Source organism: Homo sapiens, chromosome 18, assembly GCF_000001405.40.
Source record: "Homo sapiens chromosome 18, GRCh38.p14 Primary Assembly".
NCBI classification, from domain to species: domain Eukaryota; kingdom Metazoa; phylum Chordata; class Mammalia; order Primates; family Hominidae; genus Homo; species Homo sapiens.
Window position 1 is genome coordinate 731,200 of NC_000018.10, and position 27,093 is coordinate 758,292.

The 27,093-nt window shown below is 39.8% G+C and overlaps 1 protein-coding gene across 10 annotated transcripts in view, besides 1 other annotated feature; it reads right to left on the bottom strand.

Annotated features, from left to right (window-relative positions):
• Positions 1–27,093, bottom strand: part of YES1 (YES proto-oncogene 1, Src family tyrosine kinase) — a 91,166-nt gene that overhangs the window by 9,612 nt on the left and 54,461 nt on the right. For 6 of the 10 annotated variants that reach the window (XM_024451244.2, XM_024451246.2, XM_024451243.2 and 3 more), the window contains exons 2-11: positions 25,358–25,636; positions 20,506–20,605; positions 16,721–16,819; positions 14,749–14,852; positions 14,509–14,658; positions 12,061–12,216; positions 11,719–11,898; positions 8,536–8,612; positions 5,609–5,762; positions 1,635–1,766 (exon numbers count right to left, since the gene is read on the bottom strand). In XM_024451244.2, the coding sequence (XP_024307012.1) occupies positions 1,635–1,766; positions 5,609–5,762; positions 8,536–8,612; positions 11,719–11,898; positions 12,061–12,216; positions 14,509–14,658; positions 14,749–14,852; positions 16,721–16,819; positions 20,506–20,605; positions 25,358–25,628 (1,423 nt within the window). In that variant the 5' untranslated portion in view covers positions 25,629–25,636. The remainder of the gene's footprint in view (positions 1–1,634; positions 1,767–5,608; positions 5,763–8,535; positions 8,613–11,718; positions 11,899–12,060; positions 12,217–14,508; positions 14,659–14,748; positions 14,853–16,720; positions 16,820–20,505; positions 20,606–25,357; positions 25,637–27,093) is intronic. The other 4 variants (XM_047437770.1, XM_047437771.1, XM_024451247.2 and 1 more) reach the window with 1 other exon arrangement.
• Positions 10,725–10,794: an enhancer, noted in NCBI's record as "active region_13022". NCBI's record gives its function as "activates an Ori minimal core promoter by ATAC-STARR-seq in GM12878 lymphoblastoid cells {active_cell/tissue: GM12878}" and the evidence as "EXISTENCE:reporter gene assay evidence [ECO:0000049][PMID:35858748]".

A 27,093-nucleotide genomic window follows, 5' to 3' on the forward strand; every position in this document is an offset into this window, starting at 1 on the left:
GGTATGAAGATGGAAAGACTGGCTAAGGTAGAGTGAAAGACAAGATTACACAGGAGAAGAGTTCAAGCTACAAGAGACCAGGGTAATAGAAGAATCATCACCATGTGTATTAAGATGACAATGAGTTAAGACAGGAGAGGAGTTTTGTTGGAGAGGACAATGGTGAGTCATTAAATGAGAATAACTTGAATGGTATCAGTGAATAACAGCAACCAGACAAAGTGGGTGATAAAATTTGATGGCATTAGATCTACAGCTGGAGGGAACTGTAGGGAAGAGGAATATGTTAGATAACATGCAAAACCCATAAGATTAGCAAAACAGTTTTTCCTAAAGATTAAATTTTATATGCTTTCACTCTCAACATTAGGATACTTCAGTACAAGAGTTTAGAAGTAACAAACTAAAGTAATACTGATCGCTGAATTTCAAGTGAGCTAAAATTTCTCCTTCCCCCTAGAAACTATATAAATCTCTTAATTTTGAGGCCAGGCACGGTGGCTCACGCCTGTAATCCCAGCATTCTGGGAGGCCGAGGCGGGCAGATCACAAGGTCAGGAGATCGAGACCATCCTGGTTAACACGGTGAAACCCCGTCTCTACTAAAAATACAAAAAATTAGCTGGGCGTGGTGGCGGGTGCCTATAGTCCTAGCTACTCGGGAGGCTGAGGCAGGAGAATGGCGTGAAGCTGGGAGGTGGAGGCTGCAGTGAGCTGAGATCGTGCCACTGCACTCCAGCCTGGGCGACAGAGCGAGACTCCATTTCAAAAAAAAAAAAAAAAAAAAAGTCTCTTAATTTTGAAAGGGAAACACTTTCATTTTTCCTCTTTATTAATGGCAGATATATTTATTAAAGTGCTGGTTTATAAATAGGTTAGAGAAATAAAACAAGAAAAGAATCTCAAAATAATCTACTGAAGAAAACAAGGCAAGTACATATTTAAAAAAATATACCATGATGGGCACGGTGGCTCACGCCTGTAATCCCAGCACTTTGGGAGGCCTAGGCAGGTGGATCACCTGAGGTCAGGAGTTCGAGACCAGCTTAGCCAACATGGCAAAACCCCATCTCTACTAAAAATACAAAAAATTAGCTGGGTGTGGTGGTGGGTGCCTGTAATCCCAGCTACTTGGGAGGCTGAGGCAGGAGAATTGCTTGAACCCGGGAGACAGGTTGCAGTGAGCCAGACTGTACCACTGCACTCCAGCCTGGGTGACAGAGCAAGACTGTGTTTAAAAAAAAAAAAAAAAAAAAAACAAAACACCAATCACACTACTGGGAAAGAACAGTTATTTAGGGTATAGGGTGGATGAGCCAGGATATTTAAGATATGTTTATTATCTGAGAGAACAGTAAGAGGCCCCTTTGGAAAATGTCCTGAGAAAGCTGAGGTGAATGTGGGGCCTATCTCATGTGCTCACCCTGTCAAGGATCGTGGCTTTCACTGACTTACCCGTCCAATGCCACAGTTACCCATCCAATGCCACAGTAAAGGGAAGGAGTGGGGAGAGGGAGAGGCAGGGGGACTATGAGAAGAAATAAAGGCCTTTTCCCCGCTTACAATTCTGTTCCTAATAAACTCCTGATAAAGCCACTCATGAGATAACCAAGAGCTATAAAATGCAAGCTTACCTGGATATGGCACTCGGCCCTTTGTTACTAGTTCTGTTTGCAGAATTCCAAATGACCAGACATCAGACTTTATTGTAAACCGACCATACAGTGCAGCTTCAGGAGCTGTCCATTTGATTGGAAATTTTGCACCTAAAATAATGTTGACCATCTTGCTTAATTGTTTTTTAAAAATCTATTTGTGTAAACATAGCATATGCAGGGCTAATGTTCTGTCAATATCTCTACTGTAGTCATCAGTGTCAATTCTTTAAATGTACAAGATACATGGGATAAAAATTCTTTAATTTTTAAAATTCATATTGAAATAAATCACATTTCTTCCTGATTAGACAGCTGATGATATAAAAAATAAGTTGGCTGTGGGAACAGAAAACAATTTAAGAAAATAGAGGTTGAAGCTCTAGTAAGCCAAAGATACATGTTATAATATGTGTAACTTTTAAGTACAGTCTGGCACCTAATAGCTGTAGTTAACTATTGGTTGATGAGTGAATATTCTATTGAGTTATAATGTTTATGGGTTTTCCTACTTTTTATATCATTCTGGAAAATTTTATTGTACTACTTTTAAAAGTCCATGTTAATTAACTCAAATACTTACTGTATATCTTTTTTGTGGAGGGCATTATGCTAATCACTATGGAAACCTAAAAAGCATGGCTTTCGGCCGGGCGCGGTGGCTCAAGCCTGTAATCCCAGCATTTTGGGAGGCCGAGGTGAGTGGATCATGAGGTCAGGAGATTGAGACCATCCTGGCTAACATGGTGAAACCCCGTCTCTACCAAAAATACAAAAAATTAGCTGGGCGAGGTGGCAGGAGCCTGTAGTCCCAGCTACTCGGGAGGCTGAGGCAGGAGAATGGTGTGAACCCAGGAGGCGGAGCTTGCAGTGAGCTGAGATTGCGCCACTGCACTCCAGCCTGGGCAACAGAGTGAGACTCCGTCTCAAAAAAAAAAAAAAAAAAAAAAAAAAAAGCATGGCTTTCATGAAGTTTATAAACTTATTGCAGAAATAATATTATAGGTGTCTTACATTCTTTAAGTTATTTATATGTGTTTGTAGATAGTGTTTTAAAACAGAGTTCTTTAGATATTTAGACAAACAGATGATCAATTTTCCTTGGCACCATTACAAAATGTTTTATTTAAAAAGTGGCAGGTGGTTGGGCACAGTGGCTCACGCCTATAATCCCAGCAATTTGAGAGGCCGAGGTGGGCAGATCACCTAAGGTCAGGAGTTCAAGACCAGCCTGGCCAACACGGTGAAACCCTGTCTGTACCAAAAATACAAAACTTAGCCAGGTGTGGTGGTGCATGCCTGTAATCCCAGCTACTCGGGAGGCTGAGGCAGGAGAATTGCTTGAACCTGGGGGGCAGAGGTTGCAGTGAGCCAAGATCATGCCACTTCACTCCAGTCTGGGCAAAAAAGCAAAACTTGGCCAGGCGCGGTGGCTCACGCCTGTATTCCCAGCACTTTGGGAGGCCGAGGTGGGCGGATCATGAGGTCAGGAGATTGAGACCATCCTGGCTAATACGGTAAAACCCCGTCACTACTAAAAATACAAAAAAAAAAATTAGCCGAGCTTGGTGGCAGGCACCTGTAGTCCCAGCTACTCGGGAGGCTTAGGCAGAATGGCGAGAACCCGGGAGGCAGAGCTTGCAGTGAGCCAAGATCGCGCCACTGCACTCCAGCCTGGGTGACAGAGTGAGACTCCATCTCAAAAACAAAACAAAACAAAAAAAACCAGGAGCAACTACAACATACAACATCACTAATCATCAGGGAAATGCAAATTAAAACTACAGTGAGACACTACCTTACTCCTGTAAGAATGGCCATAATGAATAAGTAAAAAAAAAAAACAATAGATGTTGGTGTGGATGTGGTGAAAAGGGAACATTTTTCCACTGATGGTGGGAATGTAAATTAGTACAACCACTATGGAAAACAGTATGGAAACTCCTTAAAGAACGAAAAGCAGAACTACCATTCAATCCAGCAAACCCACTACTGGGTATCTTCCCAAAGGAAATGAAATCAGCCAGGTGTGGTGGCTCACGCCTGTAATCCCAGCGCTTTGGGAAGCCAAGGCGTGTGGATCACCTGAGGTCAGGAGTTTGAGACCAGCGTGGCCAACATGGTGAAACCGTGTCTCTACTAAAATACAAAAATTAGCCGGGCCTGGTGGCAGGTGCCTGTAATCCCAGCTACAGGGGAGGCTGAGGCAGGAGAATCATTTGAACCTGGGAGGTGGAGGTTGCAGTGAGCTGAGATTGTACCACTGCACTCCAGCCTGGGCAACAGATTGAGACTGTGTCTCAAAGCAAAAAAAAAAAAATCATTATATGAAAAAGATACATCCACAAATGTTTATAGCAGCACAATTCGCAATTGCAGATATGGAGCCAATCTAAATGACCATTGACCAATGAGTGGATAAAAAAAAATGTGGCATATATACACCATGGTATACTACTCAGCCGTAAAAAGGAATGAAATAATGTCTTTTGCAGAAACTTAGAGCTAGAGGCCATTATTCTAAGTGAAGTAACTCAGGGATGGAAAACCAAATATTGTATGGTCTCACTTAAAAGTGGGGCTAAGCTATGAGGACACAAAGGCATAAGAGTAATATAATGGACTTTGGGGAGTAAGGGGGAAAGGTTGGGGGGTGGATAAAAGACTACATGTTGGAGGTGAAACCCCGTCTCTACTGAAAATACAAAAATTAGCTGGGTGTGGTGGTACGAGCCTGTAATCCCAGCTACTCGGGAGGCTGGGGCAGGAGAATCGCTTGAATCTGGGAGGCGGAAGTTGCAGTGAGCCGAGATCGTGCCGCTACACTCCAGCCTGGGCTGGGCAACAGAGTGAGACTCCGTCTCAAAAAAACAAACAAAAAAACCTACATATTGGGTACAGTGCAAGATGCTTGGGTGATGGGTGCACTGAAATCACCACTAAAGAACTAGTTTCCCAAAAACTATTGAAAAAAAAAGTGGCAGCTAAATTAGGCCCTAAAGAATGGTTAGGATTTTCACATGTAAAGATTACAGGCCGGGCATGGTGTCTCACGCCTGCCATTTTAGCACTTTGGGAAGCCAAGGCAGGAGGACTGCTTGAGCCCAGAAGTTCGAGACCAGCTTGGGCAACATGGCAAAACTTCGTCTCTACAAAAAATACAAAGAATTAGTCAGGCGTGGTAGTGTGCACCTGTAGTTCCAGCTACTCAGGAGGCTGAGGTGGGAGGATCACCTGAGCCCCAGGAGGTCAAGGCTGCAGTGGGCTGAAATCACGCCACTATACTCTAGCCTGAGCAACAGAGGGAGACCCTATCTCGAAAAACAACAACAACAACAAACATTACAGATAGGAAGGCATTCCAGATGGAGGTAACTGTACAGAAGTATGGAGGTTGAAAGAAAGCACTATGTCTAAAGCAGGGTTTCTCAATCTCAGCACCGCTACCATTTTGGGCCTGATAATTCTGTTGTGGGGGGAAGGGGGGGTTTGCCTGCACATTTCTGTACACTGTAGGAGGTTCAGCAGTATACCTGGCCTCTACCCACTAGATGTCAAGCAGTAGCCCCCAGGTTGTAACCACCAAAAAAGTCTGTAGACATTGTCAGATGTCCCCTGGTGAGTGGCGGTACAGGGCAATATCTCCTCTGACTGAGAACCTCTGGCCTTTCTAGGAAAGAAATTAAAATATATTTGTTGTCATGTCAAAAGAAGTGTAAAGAGGCTACTACTTGCTCTATGTATAATGCAAAGGATACCTAGTCAAGTTCTTTCTTGGAGGAAATAACTATCAGAAAGCCACAGCAGTACATGATTTTATGAATGAAATCAATGTCTCTATGACTCTTCTGAGGGAAGCTAAAACAATTCTTATTCTGGAAAACCCTGTATAGTCAAGAGAGTTAAGCAAAACACACAACACATTACAAGCTTTTATGTAAAAGTAATTTTACCTTGTCTTGCTGTGTATTCATTGTCTTCAATTAACCTTGCTAAACCAAAGTCTGCTATTTTGCACACAAGATTTTCTCCTACAAGAATATTAGCAGCCCGAAGATCTCGGTGAATATAGTTCATTCTTTCAATATATGCCATACCATCAGCAATCTTGGAAAGAGAAAAACAAAAAACACAAGACATACGATACAAAGGGAAGCAGAGAGAAGACAATTATGGTTAATATCAAATTGTGTCACTGAAAATCATATTATTTTAGAAGGAGATGATGGTAACAGGGTATAGTCTAGAAGATAACAGGAAAACCAGAAAACATAATAAAAATGCAGGCTAAATTCAGATTTCAAAAATCTAACACTGGCTGGGTGCGGTGGCCCACACCTATAATCCCATTAATTTGGGAGGCCGAGGCAGGTGGATCATTTGAGGTCATGAGTTCGAGATCAGCCTGGCCAACACGGTGAAACCCTGTCTCTATTAAAAATACAAACATTAGCTGGGTGTGGTGGCACATACCTGTAGTCCCAGCTACTTGGGAGGCTGAGGCAGGAAAATCACTTGAACCCAGGAGGCAAAGGTTGCAGTGAGCCAAGATTGTGCCACTGCACTCCAGCCTGGGAAACAGAGCGAGACTCAGCCTCAAAAAAAATAAAACCTAACATTACTCTGAAGACCAAGATTAACCCTCCTAATGTCTTCTTGTGTCTGTGGTTAGGAGAAGAGGTAAATCACAAGGTAATTTAGTACCTCTGGATACAAGCTCATCAAGGTCTCTATCAGGCACAACCTAAGATGACATGGTGATAAAGGTATTAACCACAAGGTATAGGTTCCCAAACTACAGCTTGTAGGCCAAAAGTGGCCTGCAGCCTGTTTTTGCACAGCCAGAGAACTAAAACTGTTTTTTACATTTTGATTGATTGACTGAGACGGGGTCTCACTCTGTCACGCAGGTTGGCGTGCAGTGGTGCAATCGTGGCTCACTGCAATCTCTATCTTCTGGGCTCAAGCAATTTTCCCACCTCAGCCTAGTGAGTAGCTGGGACTTAGGCATGCGACACCACACCCAGCTAATGTTTGTATTTTTTTGTAGAGATGGGGTTTCACTATGTTGCCCAGGCCCCGCAAAGCGAGATTATAGGAGCCATCTCGCACAGCCTGGTTTTTACATTTTTAAAGGGTTGTAAAAAGAAAAAAGTATGACAGATTGGATGTGGCTCACAAAACCTAATTTTTTTTTTTTTTTAAAAAACAAAAATGGATTGCCAACCTCCCCTACCATAGAGTGTCTAACTCAGAAGCATGAACTGGCGTGGCATATGCCTGTTGCCTATGTATAGTTTCTCAGTATAAAGCTTTTCTGAATTGTCAGATTCTGTGGACATTTGGAGGCTAGGAGGTAAGATTCCAAAACCAGCATGTCAACCAAAGCCAATAATAAGGCCTCTCAAATACCTACCACATATCTGAAGAGAAACTTTTAACAGTTTTCACTATATATTTAAAACAAAAAGTCAGAAGAGTAAAAAAGTCCCATTTTAAACTGTATATATACCATCTTAATTCTTGTGTTGGACTATAGTAAATAACAAATTCAGGCCAGGTGCAGTGGCTCACGCCTGTAATCCCAGCACTTTGGGAGGCCGAGGCGGGCAGATCACGAGGTCAGGAGATCAAGACCATCCTGGCGAACACGGTGAAACCCCGTCCCTACTAAAAATACAAAAGATTGGCTGGGGGTGGTGGTGGGCGCCTGTAGTCCCAGTTACTCGGGAGGCTGAGGCGGGAGAATTGTGTGAACCTGGGAGATGGAGCTTGCAGTGAGCCGAGATTGCACCACTGCATTCCAGCCTGGGTGACAGAGCGAGACTCCCATCTCAAAAAAAAAAAAAAAAAAAAAATTCAGCATACACTTTAGATTACTAATATTTTCTTTGGAACAGCCCTCATCCATTTTAATTTTCTTAAAATTATCTGTTGAAATATAAATACATATAGACTTTACATTTGTGGAAACATCTATTTTCTTGAGATGGAGTCTCGCTCTTGTTGCTCAGGCTGGAGTGCAATGGCGAGATCTTGGCTCACTCCAACCTCCGCCTCCCGGGTTCAAGCGATTCTCCTGCCTCAGCCTCCTGAGTAGCTGGGATTACAGGCGCCCGCCACCACGCCTGGCTAATTTTCAGTATTTTTAGTAGAGACAGAGTTTCACCATGTTGGCCAGGCTGGTCTCGAACTCCTGACCTCAAGTGACCCACCCACCTCGGCCTCTCAAAGTGCTCAGATTACAAGCGTGAGCCACCGCACCTGGCCTGGAAACATCTATTTTCTAAGAAACCGTATGATACAGGACACCACTGGACTAAGAGTTAGATAGCTGGTTCTAATACTCGTTCTGTTACTAACAAGTTTTGTGAATTTTAGATACCTCTCATCTTTTGATACTTCATTAATCTGTATCATTAAGAGCTCACATTGGATTATCTCTGACGTTCCTGCCAGTTCTAAAATTCCATTATTGGCCAGGTAATCCCAATACTTTGGGAGGCTGAGGTGGGAGGATCCTTTGAGCCAAGGACTTTGAGACTAGCCTAAGCAACACAGAGAGATCCCTGTGTCTACAAAAAAAATAATTTTTTAAATTAGCTGGGAATGGTGGCCTGTGCCTGCAGTCCTAGCTACCCAGGAGGCTGAGGCGAGAGGATTGCTAGAGCCCAAGAATTCAAGGCTCTTCAAGCACGGAGCTATCAGTGCACCACTGCATTCCACCCTGGGTGACAGAATGAGACGCTGTCTCTAAAAAATAAAAAATAAAAATAAAATCCCACCATTTCACTACACATACTATAATATTCTGGTAAGATTATTCCACATTTTAATTTACACTTTTAATTCAAATGGATACATGTATATATACAGATACCTGAGCAGCCATATCAACCAGCTGTGGAAGCTTCAAATACTTTCCATCTCCTTCCTTAAGGAAATCTAATAAGCTTCCTGTAACAGACAGCAAGATATTCATAAAAAATAAGCAAATCTTATATTAGGATTGAAATGAATACTCCTCCACCCCAAATCACAACACAAAACTTCTTAGCTTTTCATTTTTTTTAAATTTTGTGCAGTTTTGCAGTTTCCAAATAATTATCTAGGTCCTAGAAGAGGTCTCTAAGCTGAAATTTTGAAAACTTCTGATAACACATGCAAAAAAAGAAAATGCATTAACTTTACCTGACAAGAGGCATTTTTTCCTCGCTTTGATCAATATCCCAATTCTGATTCAAAAAGTAGTATTAAATACTTACATATTTTTAAGTAAATCTGAATCAAGAATTCAGACAACTAGGAATATCTTGGGTGTGGTTAAAACTAAATATAGGTAGCTAAATGAGTCGCTGTGGAACTACTGCTGTGACCAAGCTCTCTCTCTGAAAACTACAAAGTACTATGAATAACAGCAAAGAAAAAGGCTAGAAGTCTGATTACGGCTTCACTATTATTTGTTAAGGCTTATAATCAAGAGAAAACATCACACAAAACCAAATTAAGGCACATTTAAAACATAAAAGTGGTCTATTCTCTTCAGAAGTAACAATGCTATGGAAGACAGAGGAAGGTTGAGGAATGGCTCTAGATTAAAGGAGACTAAATAGAAATGACAACTAAATGGAATGCCTGACCATAAACTGGATCGGGGAAGTGTAGTTGGTGGACTGGTCCAGAGCTAGGGAGACCAAATTCCAGGTCAAAGAGAAAACATGAAAAAATCATGAAAACAAAGAGCAGAACAGTGGGTTTATGCTGGAGTGCATGGGACAATGAGTTTGGACAGATTATAAAGGGACAAGTGCTAAGTGAATACCAAAATGAGGAATTAAAGAGTTTTAAAAATAGAAAGGACTTTTGTTATCTTGTATTCTAAATCTCTCCCGCCTGGAAATAATTGTACCCAGTGGTCTGACAACACAGAATTTTACCATGTTCTCCCAATTAAATAATTCTTAAAATTAATATACAGAGCTAAATGGGCTATTAGCCTTACCTTCATTATATTTCTTATGTTCCAATATCTTTTTTAATTGTTAAAGTCTTTATTTATTTGAAACGGAGTCTCACTCAGTCACCCAGGCTGGAGTGCAGCGGTGTCATCTTGGCTCACTGCAACCTCTGCCTCCCTAGCTCAAGCCATTCTCGTGCCTCAGCCTCCCGAGCAGCTGGAACTACAGGCACAAGCCACCACGCCCAGCTGTTTTTTGTATTTTTAGCAGAGACGGGGTTTCGCTATGTTGGCCAGGCTGGGATCGAACTCCTGACCTCAAGTGATCTGCCTGCCTCGGCCTCCCAAAGCGCTGGGATTGGAGGCATGAACCACTGTGCCTGGCCTGCTTCCAATATCTTGATTTAAACATCTTCCCTGTCCTTTTCTCCTTTTTTTTTTTTTCTTTTTTGAGACAGTCTCATTTTTTCACCCCAGATGGGAGTGCAGTGGCACAATCACAGCTCACTATGGCCTTAACCTCCTGGGCTCAAGCAATCCTCATGCCTCAGCCTCCTGAGTAGGGAATACATGTGTGTGCAACCACGTCCTGCTAATTTTTTTAGTTTTTGTAGAGATGGGGTTTCACCATGTTGCTCAGGTCAGCCACCATGCCTGGCCCTCCCTTCCCCTCTGGTTCATCTAATATACTCTTTGAAAGGGCATATTTGGGCTGGGTGTGGTGGCTCACACCTGTAATCCCAGCACTTTGGGAGGCCAAGGCAGGCTGATTGCTTGATCCCAGGAGTTCCAAACTAGCCTGGGAAACAGGGTGAAATCCCATCTGTAGAAAAATACACAAATTATCTATGTGTGGTGGCATGCACCTGTAATCCCAGCTACTCAGGAGGCTGAGATGAGAGGATCGCTTGAGCCCAGGGAGGTCCAAGCTGCAGAGAAATGTGACTGCACTCCACCCTGGGGGATAGAGTGAGGCCCCACCTCACAAAAAAACAAAAACAACAAACAAACAAGCAAACAAACAAAAAAATGTCATATTTGGCAACTGTTTGCAGTAGACATTCCTTCCAAAGAGCGCCAGGTGCTTTGGGTCTTTAGGTGTGTTCTGGCTATCAATTAATAGGCTGTATAATTTCTTAACTTTTGGTTTCAGTCCCCTTTTGAGGGGAAAAATTTTCCTACAGCAAATATGTAACTTGTAGTTGTCCTTGTCACCACTAGATGGAACTACATCATTGACCAAGACACACCACTGGAGAGGGTGACATAATTAGTGACTACTGTATATTATTGGTTCAAGAGTAAAAATAATAATAAAGCAGATGAAATCAAACACATAAAAATCAGGCCTGTCAGCTTATCTGCTGACTTACTAGTTCCTCTAAGTACCATCTGCACAGGGAAAAAGAGGAAAGAGTATCAATCTTCTCTTTATCCTCCCCCTAACTAACCCTGTTACTGAAGATCCCATCTTGTGGTCTAGAGTTAAGGAAAATGAAGAAACTTCCATTGAAGGTAGTGGGGAGGCCAGGCACAGTGGCTCATGCTGGTAATACCAGCACTTTGGGAGGCCAAAAAGGGAGGACTGCCTGAGGCCAGGAGTTCAAGACCAGCCTGGGCAACATAGTTGAGACCCCAGTCTCTATTTAAAAAAAAAAAAAAAAAGAAAGCAGTGGGGAAAAAAGTTCCTAGAAGTCCTGAATATAGGAATTATGTTTATATTAAAATGAGAAAACTAATTCATTTTAACTTTACCTTATTTCTTTGCTTTAGTACTAAAAATGTAAGTATCTTTCTGATTTTATCATTTTAATTAAATGTGTACAAACACTTTCTATTTTTCACCTTTCTAGCTTTTCCATTTGTTTTAGTCAAACTTAATTTCAAAATTAATTCAGCCTGCCTACTTTTCCTTTTAAACGTCATACTATCCTCTGGAATAACTGGATAATCACTATTCCATTAAACAAAGTGTCAGGTTTCTTCTATCCAAATATGTCTACATAAAAATCTTAAATTAGAAAACAGTATAAGTCTATATGCATACAAATCAAGACTCTTAAAAACATTATCAACACAAATACCTAAGGAGATACTAATACATACCTTTTGACATAAATTCAGTGACAATGTAAATTGGTTCTTCAGAAACAACAGCATATAGTGGAACAAGTTTATCATGTCTTAATTTTTTCATTATCTGAGCTTCTTGAAGGAAAGCTTCTGGCATCATTGTACCTGGTTTTAGTGTTTTGATTGCTACTTTCGTGGTTCCATTCCATGTTCCTAAAGAAATAACACATTTTAGGAATTTATATTTTAAAGGATTTTAGACCAAACTTCAGTGAACAGCACTTCTCTTAAATATTGAAACATATTTTATCATAAATTGTTGCACTTTAATCCACAGCTAAACAATGACAGAAAACAAAAATTCAGGCTTCTTACCCATCCACACTTCGCCGAAACATCCTTGTCCTAGTTTAACCTCTAGTCGCAAAGATTCTCGAGGGATTTCCCAAGCATCTTTTGCTAGACCTTGAGTCTGAGGTTTCACAGTTGGACACACAGTTGTCAACTTGTGGCATAAACCATCAGCATGTTCTAGATAAATGAATAAACTATACTGTAATATCAATTACAAAAATTAAGGGGCATATAGTGTATCAATGTTTTAAGTTTAAACTGTAGAAAAACAAAAACAGAAGTCCTTTCGAGTTTTACTCTAAAAGCACAAAACAAAAAGGGAGTTGTCCATAAGCAGCAAAACATGAAATATACATAAGTGAAACATTTTGTAAAATTTATTTTTAAGGCCGGGCAAGGTGTCTCACGTCTGTAATCCCAGCACTTTGGGAGGTTGAGGCAGATGAATCACGAGGTCAGGAGTTCGAGACTAGCCTGGCCAATACAGTGAAACACTGTCTCTACTAAAAATACAAAAGTTAGCCGGGCATGGTGGTGCATGCCTGTAGTCTCAGCTACTAAGGAAGCTGAGGCAGATGGATCGCATGAACCCAGGAGGCAGAGGTTGCAGTGAGCCAAAATTGCGCCACTGCACTCTAGCCTGGGTGACACAGTGAGATTCTGACTCGAAAAAAAAAAAAATATATATATATATACATGTTATTACTTACTACTTAGTATGTATATACTAATATATAGTAAATATATTGTATTTACTACTTAGTATGTATATACTAATATATAGTAGATATGTTAGTATATTTACTAAATACTTAGTATAACTTAAAATATATATTTTTTTAAGTTATTATTTACTAAATACTTAGTATGTTCCACTATTGTGCTAAATTAGCACTTCACAAGTATCTCATATATAAATGAAGCTTTGAAAACATACGCAACTTTCCCCTAAGGCCCTGCAGTTAGTAAATGGTAGAGATGGGATTCAAATCTAGGTCTGTCTGCTTCCAAAGTTCTGCCTTTGTACACTGGGTTTTATTAATTCTCAAAGAGAATGTTATCATTAAATGTTATTATCTAATAGCCACTAATTTGTAAGAGGCATACCAAAAAATCAAGGAAAAAGTTCATTTAGGATCATTTAGGAGATTTTTTCTTTTTTTTTTTTTGAGATGGAGTCTCACTCTGTCGCCCAGGATGGAGTGCAGTGGTGTGGTCTCAGCTCACTGCAACTTCCACCTCCCAGGTTCAAGTGATTCTCCTGCCTCAGCCTCCCAAGTAGCTGAGCCTACAGGTGCATGCCACCACGCCTGGCTAAATTTTTTTATATTTTAATAGATAGGGTTTTGCCATGTTGCCCAGGCTGGTCTCAAACTCCTGACCTCAAGTGATCTGTCTGTTTCGGCCTCCCAAAGTGGTGGGATTACAGGAGTGAGCCACCACGCCTGGCCTTTTTTTTTTTTTTTTTTTTTTTTTTAAGAGATGAGGTCTTGCTATGTTGCCCAGGCTGTTCTTGAACTCCTGGCCTCAAGTGATCCTCCTGCATCAGTAGTTGGGATTAAAGGCACAATCCACATGCCTAACAGGAGACTGATTTTTTTAAATAAGGGAGACACAAAGTCAGGGAACCCTAGATTCATAACAGCTTGACTTATGAATTCTGCTTATACAATCTTTCTTATTATAAATGAGACATGTTCTCTCCTATTCTCACTAAAATAACCACATAAATTCACATTGTGACAAAGGCAATTACAAGTGATGCCACTGCTTGGTAACATGCTTGATCAATGTCAAGATTGCTGGCTGACTTGATAGACTCAGTTTGCAGCTAGCTGTCATTGAAGACATTACCATGGAAACATCCCCTCTCCTAGTATTAATCATGTAAAGACTTTCAGGTGCATTCATATGCCAAATTGGTAATGAAAAATTTTGAGACAGAAGATTCTAATATTAAATACCTTCAGAGGTCCTTGAAAGACAAAAATGTCTATAATTGCTATAGGTTAATTTTCTAGGATAAGAAAAATGCATCGTCAGACCAAATTTCACTGGATTTATACTTTAGGAAAGCTTATGCGATCCAGCCCATGCAGAGGAAGGTAATCCTTCTGACATAGCTTTTTCTGTTACCCAATGTTTAGTTTTACTTACTAAGTGCCCATAAATATTTGCTTTTAGGTTTATTTTCATAAGGTACATGTGGTGAAATGAACTCCAATGTAAATACTATGCCAGTAAGATATAAGGACCCAAATGATGAGAGTCTATTAGCACATTATCTGAGTAGCACAATGCAAGTACTAAGTATTACCTGTTCCTCCCTTTAGAATACAACAGACATTTATTGGGCATGTATTATGTGTAAATAAGTGTGTTAAATCTTAAGAGAAATGAGGATATGGATTTTGTCCTCATAAACTAGAATATGAAGAAATAATTTTTACCTTTGAAATATTCACATACCTGTGTAGTGTTTCACCAATTTCTGCAGAGTATCAAATTGTGCTCTGGTTGTGATATAGTATCCACCATTGTCAAGTTTCCTAATTTTGTAGTGTTTCACATTGTCACCCCTTATCTCATCCCAATCACGAATAGAAAGGGAATAAGCACCTGGGTGAAAAATAAATACTTTCACTATATCTTTCTCAAAATACTGCCCCAAGAAATTTTATACTTATACTAATATAACAATATTCATACCTTTAGTTGTTTCACTCTCTCTTACTAAGAAAATACCTCGTTGATTTCCAGGATTCAAAAGTAATCTTTCAGCATCTTTTCTCCCCATTTTGCCAAAATACCATCTGGAAAAAAATTAAGTGTTTTGAATTGAAAAGTATGAGGTTCAGAAAAATTATACAGAAGTGTCAGTAAGAATGGACTGGGATAGGTTTGGACGACAAAGAATAGCTAGAGAACATGGCTCAAAATACAGGAAAATGTAAGAGTTTTATTGATTAAATAGTAATATCACAAATATTACTGTTAGAATATACTCTTACAGTATTTCTATATATTAACTACTCAATGTGTCTCTCAAAACTCCACCTGACAGTCACAGGAACAGTAGAGAGGGAAAGGCAGCAAAATAACAGACCCTTTCTGTCAGTGACAAATGGAAATATTAAGACTATGACAGGAAGAATAGAAGTGGTTCCCTGGTAACAGCATCATCATCTGCATTCAGTAAGACACAGGCATATCATACCCAAATTATTAGTAACTCTAAATATGTGTGGGTTTAATTTAATAAGGTTTTGTGAATAAAATGACAGTGTCTGCTATGGAAGAGCTCACAGAAAATGAGAAGAAAGACAAAAGGACAAAACAAAAAGTAAGAAGCACCATAGTAGAACAAAGAGTTATTGAGACACATTACAAATCATTAATAAAAGCAAACAAACATTGATAGAGCACCTATCATATACAAGGTACGGTGTTAAGTGTTATAACATGAAAATAAAGTAGCGTTTATGAATCCCAGATAAACTGGTTTAACCTAAAAGTAGTGTGTCACTGAAGGTGAATTTTTACTTTTTAAAAGTTGCAAAAATAGGACACAGAACTCCCATACACCCTACAATAAACCCTACAACTAGGTTCCCCAATGGCTAACATTTTGCTTTGTCATACTCTCTCCCTCTCTACATATGTATGTGTGTGCATGTATATATATACACATGTATTTTTTCTTAACTAATTGTAAGTTGCAAACATGCTGAATTAGTGCCTCAAATACTTCAGTGTGTACTTGCTAAAAGAGAAGGATACTTTCCTACATAACTACAATGCAAGTGCTTAAATGAAGACATTAACAGTCATATAAAACTAACTGAAAGTAATATTCTTTCATGGGCATATTACTTTTATAATCATAAAATGATAATAAATCTCTGAAATATTTCAAAAATAGTAAAACCTTAAAGAATGTAAGTCTTTGGGCCAGGCACAATGGCTCACGCCTGTGATCCTAGCACTTTGGAAGGCTGAGGCGGGTGGATCACTTGAGGTCAGGAGTTTGAGACCAGCCTGGCCAATAGGCGAAACCCCGTCTCTACTAAAAATACAAAAATTAGCTGGGCGTGGTGGTGCATGCCTGTAGTCCCAGCTACTTGGGAGGCTGAGGCAGGAGAATTGCTTGAGCCTGGGAGGTAGAGGTTGCAGTGAGCCGAGATCACGCCACTGCACTCTAGCCTGGGCGACAGAGCCAAGACCCTGTCTCAAAAAAAAGAAGAATGTAAGTCTTGGCATCATAAATATGGGATGCATATATATACCAATATACCCATCCCTATCAACACACCCTCATATATAAGCTGTAAGTTAAAAAATAAGTCAAGGCAGGGAATGAGGATAATCAGAAGGCAAATTTTTGAAGTGAGACAGTCTGAAAAATATGCAAAAGGCTTATAGATACATATTTAAGTGAAAACATAAAAGAGAGAGACTAGGCATAAGGAAATATGACTGATGCAGATTCGTTTATGATCCTACTCTAAGTGAATAGTATGACATTAGTTATTAATTTTTAAGTAACATCTATTAATATGATACATAAGCTGTATTAAGACTGGTATATAATTCTGTGTGTGTAAAGTTGTGGCTAAGTAGAATGTGCATTAAAACATTTCAAAAATCAAAATAATTAATAAAATATGAAGTAGTGCCATACTCTTCTGCCTGAATGGAATCTGCAGGCGCTACATAATTGCTCGGGATATAACCATTCTTTCCTGTAGCGATTGATCTTGCTTCCCACCAATCTCCTTCCCTGCAACACATAAAACAGCAATCACCGCAAGGTAGACTATTGCCCAAGGTACAATATATTGCAGTGCTATCTTGTATCTGAAGTAAACAAAGGGTATTACTTTCATTTTTTATTTATGCATTCATTGGATGAAGAATTAAACTCAAAGAATGATATTAAAAAATAGGTTACATGAATTAAAGGAAGCACAATTGCATACTTCTGCTCCAAATAAAGCCTCAAAATCCTACACACTTAGTTATAAGATTTCTTTTTTTAACACAATTCTTTCAACCTAAGACAGACGATAGTGAATAAAACAATTTGGGAGGTAAATCTTTCAAATTACTCAGTATTCTTTTCTTTTTTTTTTTTTTAAAGCTTTAAGGTGTAATTTGCATGCCATAAAATTCCCCCACTTAAGATGTACAATTCACTAGTTTTTAATATATTTACAGAGTTGTACAACCATTATCACAATCAATTTTAGAATATTTTCATCACCCCCAAAAGAAACTCTGTACCCATTAGCAGTCACTCTGCACCCCCAACTACCTCCAACCACTGTCAACCACTAATCAGCTTTCTGTCTCTATGGATATGCCCACTGCATGCACCTTATATAAATGAAAATATGTGCATTTATGTGGTCTTTTGTAATTGACTTCTTTTACTTGGCATAATTTTTTAAAGGTTCATCTAGGTTATAGCATGTCTATCAGTAGTTCATTCTTTACTGACAAATGCTTTTCTCTTTATAGTACATAAAATTGTAATACTCTTTTTTACTCATTTTAGATAAAAAAAAAAATCACAATGCTCTAACATTCCTGTAGCCAGACAATTAACAATGAGCAACAAAGTTAAAAACTGAATTTCTGGGCCAGGCGTAGTGGCTCAAGCCTGTAATCCCAGCACTTTGGGAGGCTGAGGCAGGCAGATCACCTGAGGTCCAGAGTTCAAGACCAGTCTGGTCAACATGGTGAAACCTGGTCTCTACTAAAAACACAAAAATTAGCTAGATGCAGCGGCATGCACCTGTAGTCCCAGCTACTTGGGAGGCTAAGTCAGTAGAATCGCTTGAACCTGGGAGGTGGAGGTTGCAGTGAGCCGAGATCATGCCACTGGACTCCAGCCTGGGCTACAGAGCGAGACTCCATCTAAAAAAAACAAAGAAACAAAACAAAACAAAAACCCAAAAAAACTGCATTTCTGGCCGGGCGCGGTGGCTTACGCCTGCAATCCCAGTACTTTGGGAGGCCGGGGTGGGCAGATTACCTGAGGTCAGGAGTTCGTGACCAGCCTGGCCAACATGGTGAATGAAACCCTGTCCCTACTAAAAATACAAAAATTAGGTGGGAGTGGTGGCGTGTGCCTGTAATCCCAGTTACTCAGGAGACTGAGGCAGGAGAATCGCTTGAACCTGGGAGGCAGAGTTTGCAGTCAGCCAAGATCATGCCATTGCACTCCAGCCTGGGTGACAAGAGCAAAACTCCATCTCAAAAAAACAAAAGCAAAACAAAAAAACCCCCTGAATTTCTAGAATAATGCATACTTATAAAAATGTTATCTAGAAGGCTGGGCGCGGTGGCTCACGCCTGTAATCCCAGCACTTTGGGAGACCGAGGCAGGCGGATCACAAGGTCAGGAGATCGAGACCATCCTGGCTAACACGGTGAAACCCCGTCTCTACTAAAAAAAAAACAAAAAAAATTAGCCAGACGTGGTGGCGGGCGCCTGTAGTCCCAGCTACTCGGGAGGCTTAGGCAGGAGAATGGCATGAACCCAGGGGGCAGAGCTTGCAGTGAGCCGAGATTGCGCCACTGCACTCCAGCCTGGCGACAGAGCAAGACTCCGTCTCAAAAAAAAAAAAAAAAAGTTATCTAGAAATATTCCAGTAAGACCAAAATTAAATGATAATTCAGAACATGAGAACTACATGTGGTTTATAACACATAAGCCGTCATTTTTTCAAAATTAATGTGAAAAGACCAAATACAATTAGTCTTTAAATAGGAAGATAGATATGGGATTTGTTACTAAAGATTAAATTCATGTTTTGCTTCACCAAAGATAAAAACTGAAAAGGCACTGTCTAAATTAAAATGTTATAAATGCCTAGATAAATTTGCTCTCTAGAAAATGAATGAAAAATCCCTTAATAATTCAAATATTTAGAAACTCATACACTTGGTTTGTGGTTCCTCATATATACTAAGCACTTTCAGATACACAAACCAAAAACCTTGTATTTGATCCTGCTAAGCATTCATTGATTCACTCTAACATTTACTGAATACCTATTAAGTGACAGACTTTAGAGTGTGCTGGAAATAAAAGTAAAAAGACAGTCCTTGACTTCAAGGAATTCACAGTCTAGAGCTGGGTTTTCCAACTTCAGCACTATTGACACCTTGGACTTGATCATTCTTTGTTGTGGGAGGCTGCTGTGTGCGTTTTAAGATATTTACCAATATCCCTGGCCACTACTCACTAGAAGACAGCGGCAGCACCCCAACTGTGACAACCAAAAATGTCTCCAGATACTGCCAAATATCCCCTGGGTGATTCTGTCCCAGGTTGAGAACCATTGGTCTAAAAGAATAACAAGCAAGTGACAAATTGTAATTCAAAATGTGATGACAGCTATGATTGAGGTTTGCATAGGGTGCTATGTAAACACCTAAGAGAGATACTTAATCCAGCAGGGGATAAGGACTGGGCCAGGCAGGGGAGGAAGAATGTTAAGGAAAGGCATCTTGAGAAAGGACATATTAACTATATTTTGAAGGGTGAGTAGGATTAGCTAAATAAAGGAAAGAAATGGAAAGATGAGAAATCACATTCCAGAAAAAAGAAACAGTATGTGTGAAAGCATGAGAGTATAAGAAACTCCAGCGTACTCAGAAAATTGCAAGTAATTCAGTATGTCTGGGTATTAGAGTTAGAAGAGGGGAGAAGCACATAGTAAATTCTCAATGAATGATTGTTGTTATCATTGTCGTTTTCCTTTTATCTTGATGGCAAGTGGTAGGTACTGAATATTTTAAAAGTAGAAGGATATGACCATATTTTATGTTCCGGAACAATAACTGGTAGCAGATGGGAACATGGATGGAAGAAAATACGACTGGAAGCAGACCATAAATATATATTTTGAGAAGTTACAAAGTGGTCATTATGCTTGCTAATGAAATTATTCGATCTACTTTCTACAACGAGCATCAAATTTTCTACAGTGTACCTCTAGACAAAAAGTCTGTCACAAAAGGAAAAACACAACTTAATTTCATCAATTGGAAAGTAGATGGGTTCCTTACCCAACTTTCTCCCCCTCCTTTTTTTTTAATAGAATGAGACAAGATCTTTACACCATCTGGTACTTAGAAAAATAGGAGCATCAAACTCTCTTTATAAAGTTTTTTAAAAAAATAATACACTTGCATGTACTCCCCTCAGTAACTCTTCATTCTTAAATCTCTACTGTTTATGGCAGAACCACAGCAGCACAAATTGTAGAAGTAATAACTTCTGGCTACAGCAGCAGTGTTGCAACATGCATCTATAGAAGCCAATGCATCGTTAAACACAGTGGGCAGCCCATGCCCTACCTCTCTCATCTCTGGATCATCAACCAGCTCAGTGGTTCCTGTGTAAAGACCAGATTTCTGTCAGTATTTCTCTCACAAAATATTCATGACACTTACGTATTGTTAATTATTTGAAATCTTTCACCCTTCTTAAATGAAAGGTCTTCTGTAGTTCTAGCTTCATAATCATATAAGGCCACAAATATAGTAACACCACCTATCAGAGGGAAAAAAGACCAAGGTAAATTATGTAGCTAACTTAACAAAACAGAAAAAAAGAACTATTGCCAGCCAAAAAAAAAAAAGCTTAAGGATAGTTTTTTCTGTAGTCTCCAGAAACTATTTTTAGAAGTTGGAACTACTGAAGAATTTTAAAGTAGAGAGACATGACCATATTTTATGTTCTGGGACAATAACTCAATAACTGGTAGCAATAACTAGTCTTAAACTCTCCGAAGACCTTCCATAAAACTACTGTATTCTACAAATTATAAAACTCTGTAGACTTGGAGAAACAAATTTAATTTTGTTTCTTTTTGAGACAAAGTCTCACTCTGTCACCCAGGCTGGAGTGCAGTGGTGTGATTTTGGCTTGCTGTAACCTCTGCCTCCTAGGTTCAAGTGATTCTCATGCCTCAGCTTCCCAAGTAGCTGGGATTACAGGCATGTGCCGCCACACCTAGTTAATTTTTTTGTATTTTTAGTAGAGACAGGGTTTCACTGGGTTAGCCAGGTTGGTTTTGAACTCCTGGCCCCAAGTGATTCGCCTGCCTTGACCTCCCAAAGTGCTGGGATTACAGACGTGAGCCACTGTGCCCAGCCAACAAATTTAATTTTGACTCACTGTAGCAACATCTCAGGCTTGGAAATGCAGTCAAATTTCAAATCAATTATTTGACAGAAAAAGGATTGATGACTACTACAAACTAGTGGGGCAGTGTTCTTCATATAAATAATGAATGAACAATTGCATCTAATCATTACCAGTAATAACTAATTTACTAGTTTTAGCAAAATTATTACATATTTAACACTTAAAGATAAAAATGTCATGTTTTGTCTTAAATGGTATCAGACGGTCACAGTGGTTCACGTCTGTAATCTCAGCACTTTGGGAGGCCGAGGTGGGCAAATCACTTGAGGCCAGGAGTTCGAGACCAGCCTGGTCAACAGGGCGAAACCCTGTCTGTACTAAAAATACAAAAATTAGCCAGGCATGGTGGCGCATGCCTGTAATCTCAGCTACTTGGGAGGTTGAGACAGGAGAATCGCTTGAAACCCGGAAGTGGAGGTTGCCATGAGCCGAGATTATGCCACTGCACTGTAGCCTGGGTGACACAGCAAGACTCTGTATCAAAAAAATAAATAAAATAAAATGGTATGGATGATATGAATTATAAAGTATAAATTCAAAAACTGTCATATTTAGCATTATGTGCAGATGCTTAAAGAGATTAGCATACTGAACAGCCAAACTATTATTTGCAAACAAAACAAATAATAAAACAGATGTATACAATATGCATGACATCTCAGTGTTAAAATTATTCAAGGCAGGTATTCAGGTTAAAAACTCCATAATATATTAATATTCTTTTAAAAAACTGTATATATTTATTGCATACAACATGATGCTTTGAAATATATATACATTGTGGAATGGCTAAGTAGAGCTAATTAACGTATGCATTGCATCACATATCATTTTTGTGGTGAGAACACTTAAAATTTTGTTAGTAATTTTCAAGAATACAATATATTGTTATTAACTGTGTTCTACAATAGATCTCTTGAACTTACTCCTCCTATCTAAATTTTGTATCCTTTAGCCAACATATTTTTAATTTGAATATGTATATACTCTACTCAACATAATCCCACTGACTTGTCAGATCAAAAAAAAATTTTTTCTTTTTTGAGACGGAGTCTTGCTCTGTTGCCCAGGCTAGAGTGCAGTGGTACGATCTGGGCTCACCACAACCTCACCTCCTGGGTTCAAGCTATTCTCCTGCCTCAGCGTCCTGAGTAGCTGGGATTACAGGCGTGCACCTCCACGCCCAGCTAATTTTTGTATTTTTTGTAGAGATGGGGTTTCACCATGTTGGCCAGGCTGGTCTCAAACTCCTGACCTCAAGTGATCTACCTGAGTCGGCCTCCCAAAGTGCTAGAATTAAAGGTGTGAGCCACCCTGCCCGGCTGACATCTTTACTTGAATGTCTAATAAGCATTTAAAATTTATTACAAAACAAAGCTCTTGATTTTTCTCCTCTAACCTATATTTACATACCCAAGTCTTTCCTATCTAAGTAAATGGCCCTACCATCTAATCAGGTACTCAAGCCGAGTCCATTACTAGTGCTATCAGTTTTACCTCTAAAATACTATTTACTTTCCATTTCCACTGCTGCTACCCTAACCCAAGTCCTTGTCATTTCTCACAGGGACTGGGTGGACTACTGAGAGTGCCAGTCTCATCTGCTTCTATACTGCTTCTCTACCATCCATTCCCCACACAGATGTCAGAGTCAGTTTTTCTCAAAAGAAAATTCAATCAAATCCTTTACTTAATCTCTTCAGCAGTTTCTTCCTAGCTTTGAATAAAACCTAAACTCGCTACCAGAGTCTGTGGGGTCCTGAGTAATCGTGGTCTCCTAACTCTTCAATCCCATATAATACAATTCTCCCCTCTGTTTATACTAGTCTCCACACTAATACTCAAAACTTCCAAGTCTCTCTGTATCTCCTAAATGTTGCATTTGTTATTTCCTCTCTCTAGAAAGCTCTTTCCCAGGATTGCACATAGGTGGGTCATTCTCACTTATCAAATATCAGCTCAAGGCTGGGTGCGGTGGCTCACGCATGTAATCCCAGCACTTTGGGAGGCCAAGGCAGGCACATCCCCTAAATCAGGAGTTTAAGACCAGCCTGGCCAACGTGGTGAAACCCCGTCTCTACTAAAGTACAAAAAAAATTAGCCGGGTGCCGTGGTGTTTGTTTCTTGTTATCTCAGCTACTCGGGAGGCTAAGGCAAGAGAATGGCTTGAACCTGGGAGGCAGAAGGTTGCAGTGAGCCAAGACTGCGCCACTGCACTCCAGCCTGGGTGACAGAGAGAGACTCCAACTCCAAAAAAAAAAAAAAAAAATCTCAGCTCAAATGATTTCTTCTTGAGATAGCTTTCCCTGATTAACTGCAGGGCCTTCACCATCATTCTAGTTAGTTCCTTCATAGCATTTAAGGATCATTAATCATCCATCCTGTTTAGCTGTTTATTCATTAATTATTGTCCAACCCTCTATAATGTAAGCTCCATCAGAACAGAAACTTTGTCTTGCTCACCTCTCCATACCTGATACACAGACACTGAGTGTACACTGAGTTAATAAATGAATACCCCTAATAGAATATTTCATATAAGTAAATTGCTTTAGGTAACTAAAGTGTGTCTTTAAGTATCAATATTCAACCATTTTAGATTACTATCTTTCCCAAACATAACTCTAAAAGTAAACTTTTGCTAAAGACTTAGAAATGCCCTCATGGCCATCTACTACTGAAGTATTCAGAATTAGGGGGCTGGAATTAAGACTGTAATTGACTTAACATGCATAACTCCCTAAATGAAGTCTAACAGAATCAGTGTATGGCAGTCCTCTGGCCATTGCCTTTTTTTTTTTTTTGGAGACAGAGTCTCGCTCTGTCACCTAGGCTGGAATGCAGTGGCGCAATCTTGGCTCACTGCAATCTCTGCCTCCTGGGTTCAAGCACTACTCGTGCCTCAGCCTCCCGAGTAGCTGGGACTACAGGTGCGCAACACCACACCTGGCTAATTTTTTTTGTATTTTTAGTTGAGACAGTGTTTTGCCATGTTGCCCAGGCTGGTCTCAAACTCCTGAGCTCAGGCAATCTGCCTGCCTCAGCCTCCCAAAATGCTAGGATTACAGGTGTGAGCCACTGCGCCTGGCCTGGCTATTGTTTTTGGTCCAGTTGGAACAGACTGAAGAGACAAATGTATAGTCAGTCTATGCTTGTAGTGGGGATTTATCTTTTGCACCCACTGGCTGTTAATGAGGACATATATTGCTTGATTTGATGCTGGCAGCTGTTTTGCCAAGCCTAAGGATAAAGCAGACACTCCCAAGGGCTGCAGAATAGAGATAAAGAAATCTGAGTCCTTGATGACACCATGGAACTGCTCTATCAAGGAATCCTGAAACTCACTCTACCTTTTTAAGCCAGCTATACTTTGTTACTTCAGTGAAAAAGCATCCTGATACGGGACCCTTTACAAAAGAGCTCATTTTCTCTCTTTTAAAATTGTTTGAATCTATTTTTTTAAGAGCCTTCTGTCTCCACGAAAGGTTGTCAACAATCACTTCTTGCTATTCTCTAAAAGGATATAATAATGTAATAATTGGAGTTCTGGAATAGGACAATAAATCTGAGCTCTCCTACTTACTATCTGTGACTTGGGGGAAAATTTTAAACTGTCTGAGCTTTAGGATTTTTCTTTTTTAAATCAGCAGCATCTGGGAGAAATTCTGTATTATCGCTACTCTACTGTCATTTAATTAACATCTATTAAGTAACCACTATAAGACTTTAATACTGCAAAGTACTTTACAATCCTGAGAAGTTGTCAAATTCTTGAGGGAAAGGTATATGTTTTTAATCTTTATGTTCCCGGTGCCTACAGTGGGGGGGGGCTCAATAACTATTTGAATAATGAGTTAATAAAATAATTAATGACATGATCCAGTACATAATCACCATCAGGTTACTACCAATTTTCCAGAACCATACCCATGTATACAATAAAACTAATTTTTATGTTAGAGACTGATTTTCACATACAATTATTTGAAAAGTCCTCAAGTAAGATATCTTTCTTAAAGGCAGACAAGCCTTAAGTATATATTACCCAAGGTGATGTTCTCAAACAGACAACATAATTGTCCATTTAAATCTCACCTGTTAAACCAGCAGGATATGAACTTGGCACCACTGAAAATGAGGAAGATGCACCTCCAAAAGGCGTTACCCCTGAGGATCCTCCAAATGGTGTCATGGAAAGACTGCTGAAATTAACTGCTGTTCCCTTTGCTGAAGATGACGGACATGGTGACACTGTAGTGGGTTCTGCTCCATAATGGCTCACACTTGTACTGACAGGCTCTGGAGTATTTTCAGGTCTGTATTTAATGGCTGGACTTTTGTTTTCTTTACTTTTAATGCAGCCCATTATCAAATCTACAGAGACAATAAAATATTTTGAGAGTCAGTTAACACACAGGATACTTCAAAAAGACAGGGTTCAAAAAATCATTTTAAGAAAAGCATATGCCATCCCTGCAAAAAGGAACATAAACAAAACAAAAAATAGAAAGCTGAAAACGAGGTCTCTTCCCCTCATTTATCTTTATTACAATTTGCAAAAGCCCTACTCCAATCGCTTCATTCTCCAACTCAATCACCTTTAATAGTCCAATGACAACATGCCACAGTATATTGGGAAAAAACCATGGGCTCTGAAGCCAGAGAGGCCTAAATTTGAATCCTGGCTTCCTACTTAGTAGTGGAGTGATTTCAGGGTATGTTGCTTAACCTCTATGCACTCCAGTTACTTGAAAAAGTATCGCTGGGCGCAGTGGCTCACGCCTGTAATCCCAGCACTTTGGGAGGCCAAGGCGGGCGGATCACGAGGTCAGGAGATTGAGACCATCCTGGCTAACACGGTGAAACCCCGCCTCTACTAAAAATGCAAAAAATTAGCCGGGCGTGGTGGTGGGCGCCTGTAGTCCCAGCTACTCGGGAGGCTGAGGCAGGAGAATGGCGTGAACCCGGGAGGCGGAGCTTGCAGTGAGCAGAGATCGCGCCACTGCACTCCAGCCTGGGCGACAGAGCGAGACTCCGTCTCAAAAAAAAAAAAAAAAGAAAGAAAAAGTATCTGGGGGGCCAGGCGCAGTGGCTCACACCTGTAATTGTAGCACTTTGGGATGCCTAGGCGGACCGATCACTTGAGGTCAGGAGTTCAAGACCAACCTGGCCAACACAGTGAAACTCTTGTCTCTGATAAAAATACAAAAATTAGCTGGGCGTGGTGGTGCACACCTGTAATCCCAGCTACTAGGGAGGCTGAGGCATGAGAATCACTTGAACCCAGGAGGAAGAGGTTGCAGTAAGCTGACATCGTGCCAGTGCACTCCAGCCTGGGTGACAGAGTAAGACTCTGTCTCAAAAAAAATAAAAAATAAAAAAGCATCTGGGTGATAAAATTATCTGTTAAAAAAAAAAGAAAAAGAAAGAAAACAAAATAGAAAAAAAAGAGAAAAACCTACCTCATAAGGTTTACTATGAGGATTAACTTTATTACAAATTCTAGACAATCTGGCACACAATGGGTACTAGCAAATACTGTTGTATTCTGTCTATACCAGGACTATGTCAACAGAAATATAATCTAAGTCACAAATGTGAGCCACATAATTTTAAATTTTCTAATTTAGTGTAGCCATATTAAAAAAATACAAAGAAACAGGTAAAATTAACTTTAGTATTTTATTTAACCCAGTATATAAAAAACATTTATTTCAACATGTAACCGATATAAACATTTTAATGACATTTTATTTTTTCATACTGAGCCTTAAAAATCTGATGTGTATTTTGTACTTGAAGTACATCTCAACTGGACTAGAGACATTTCA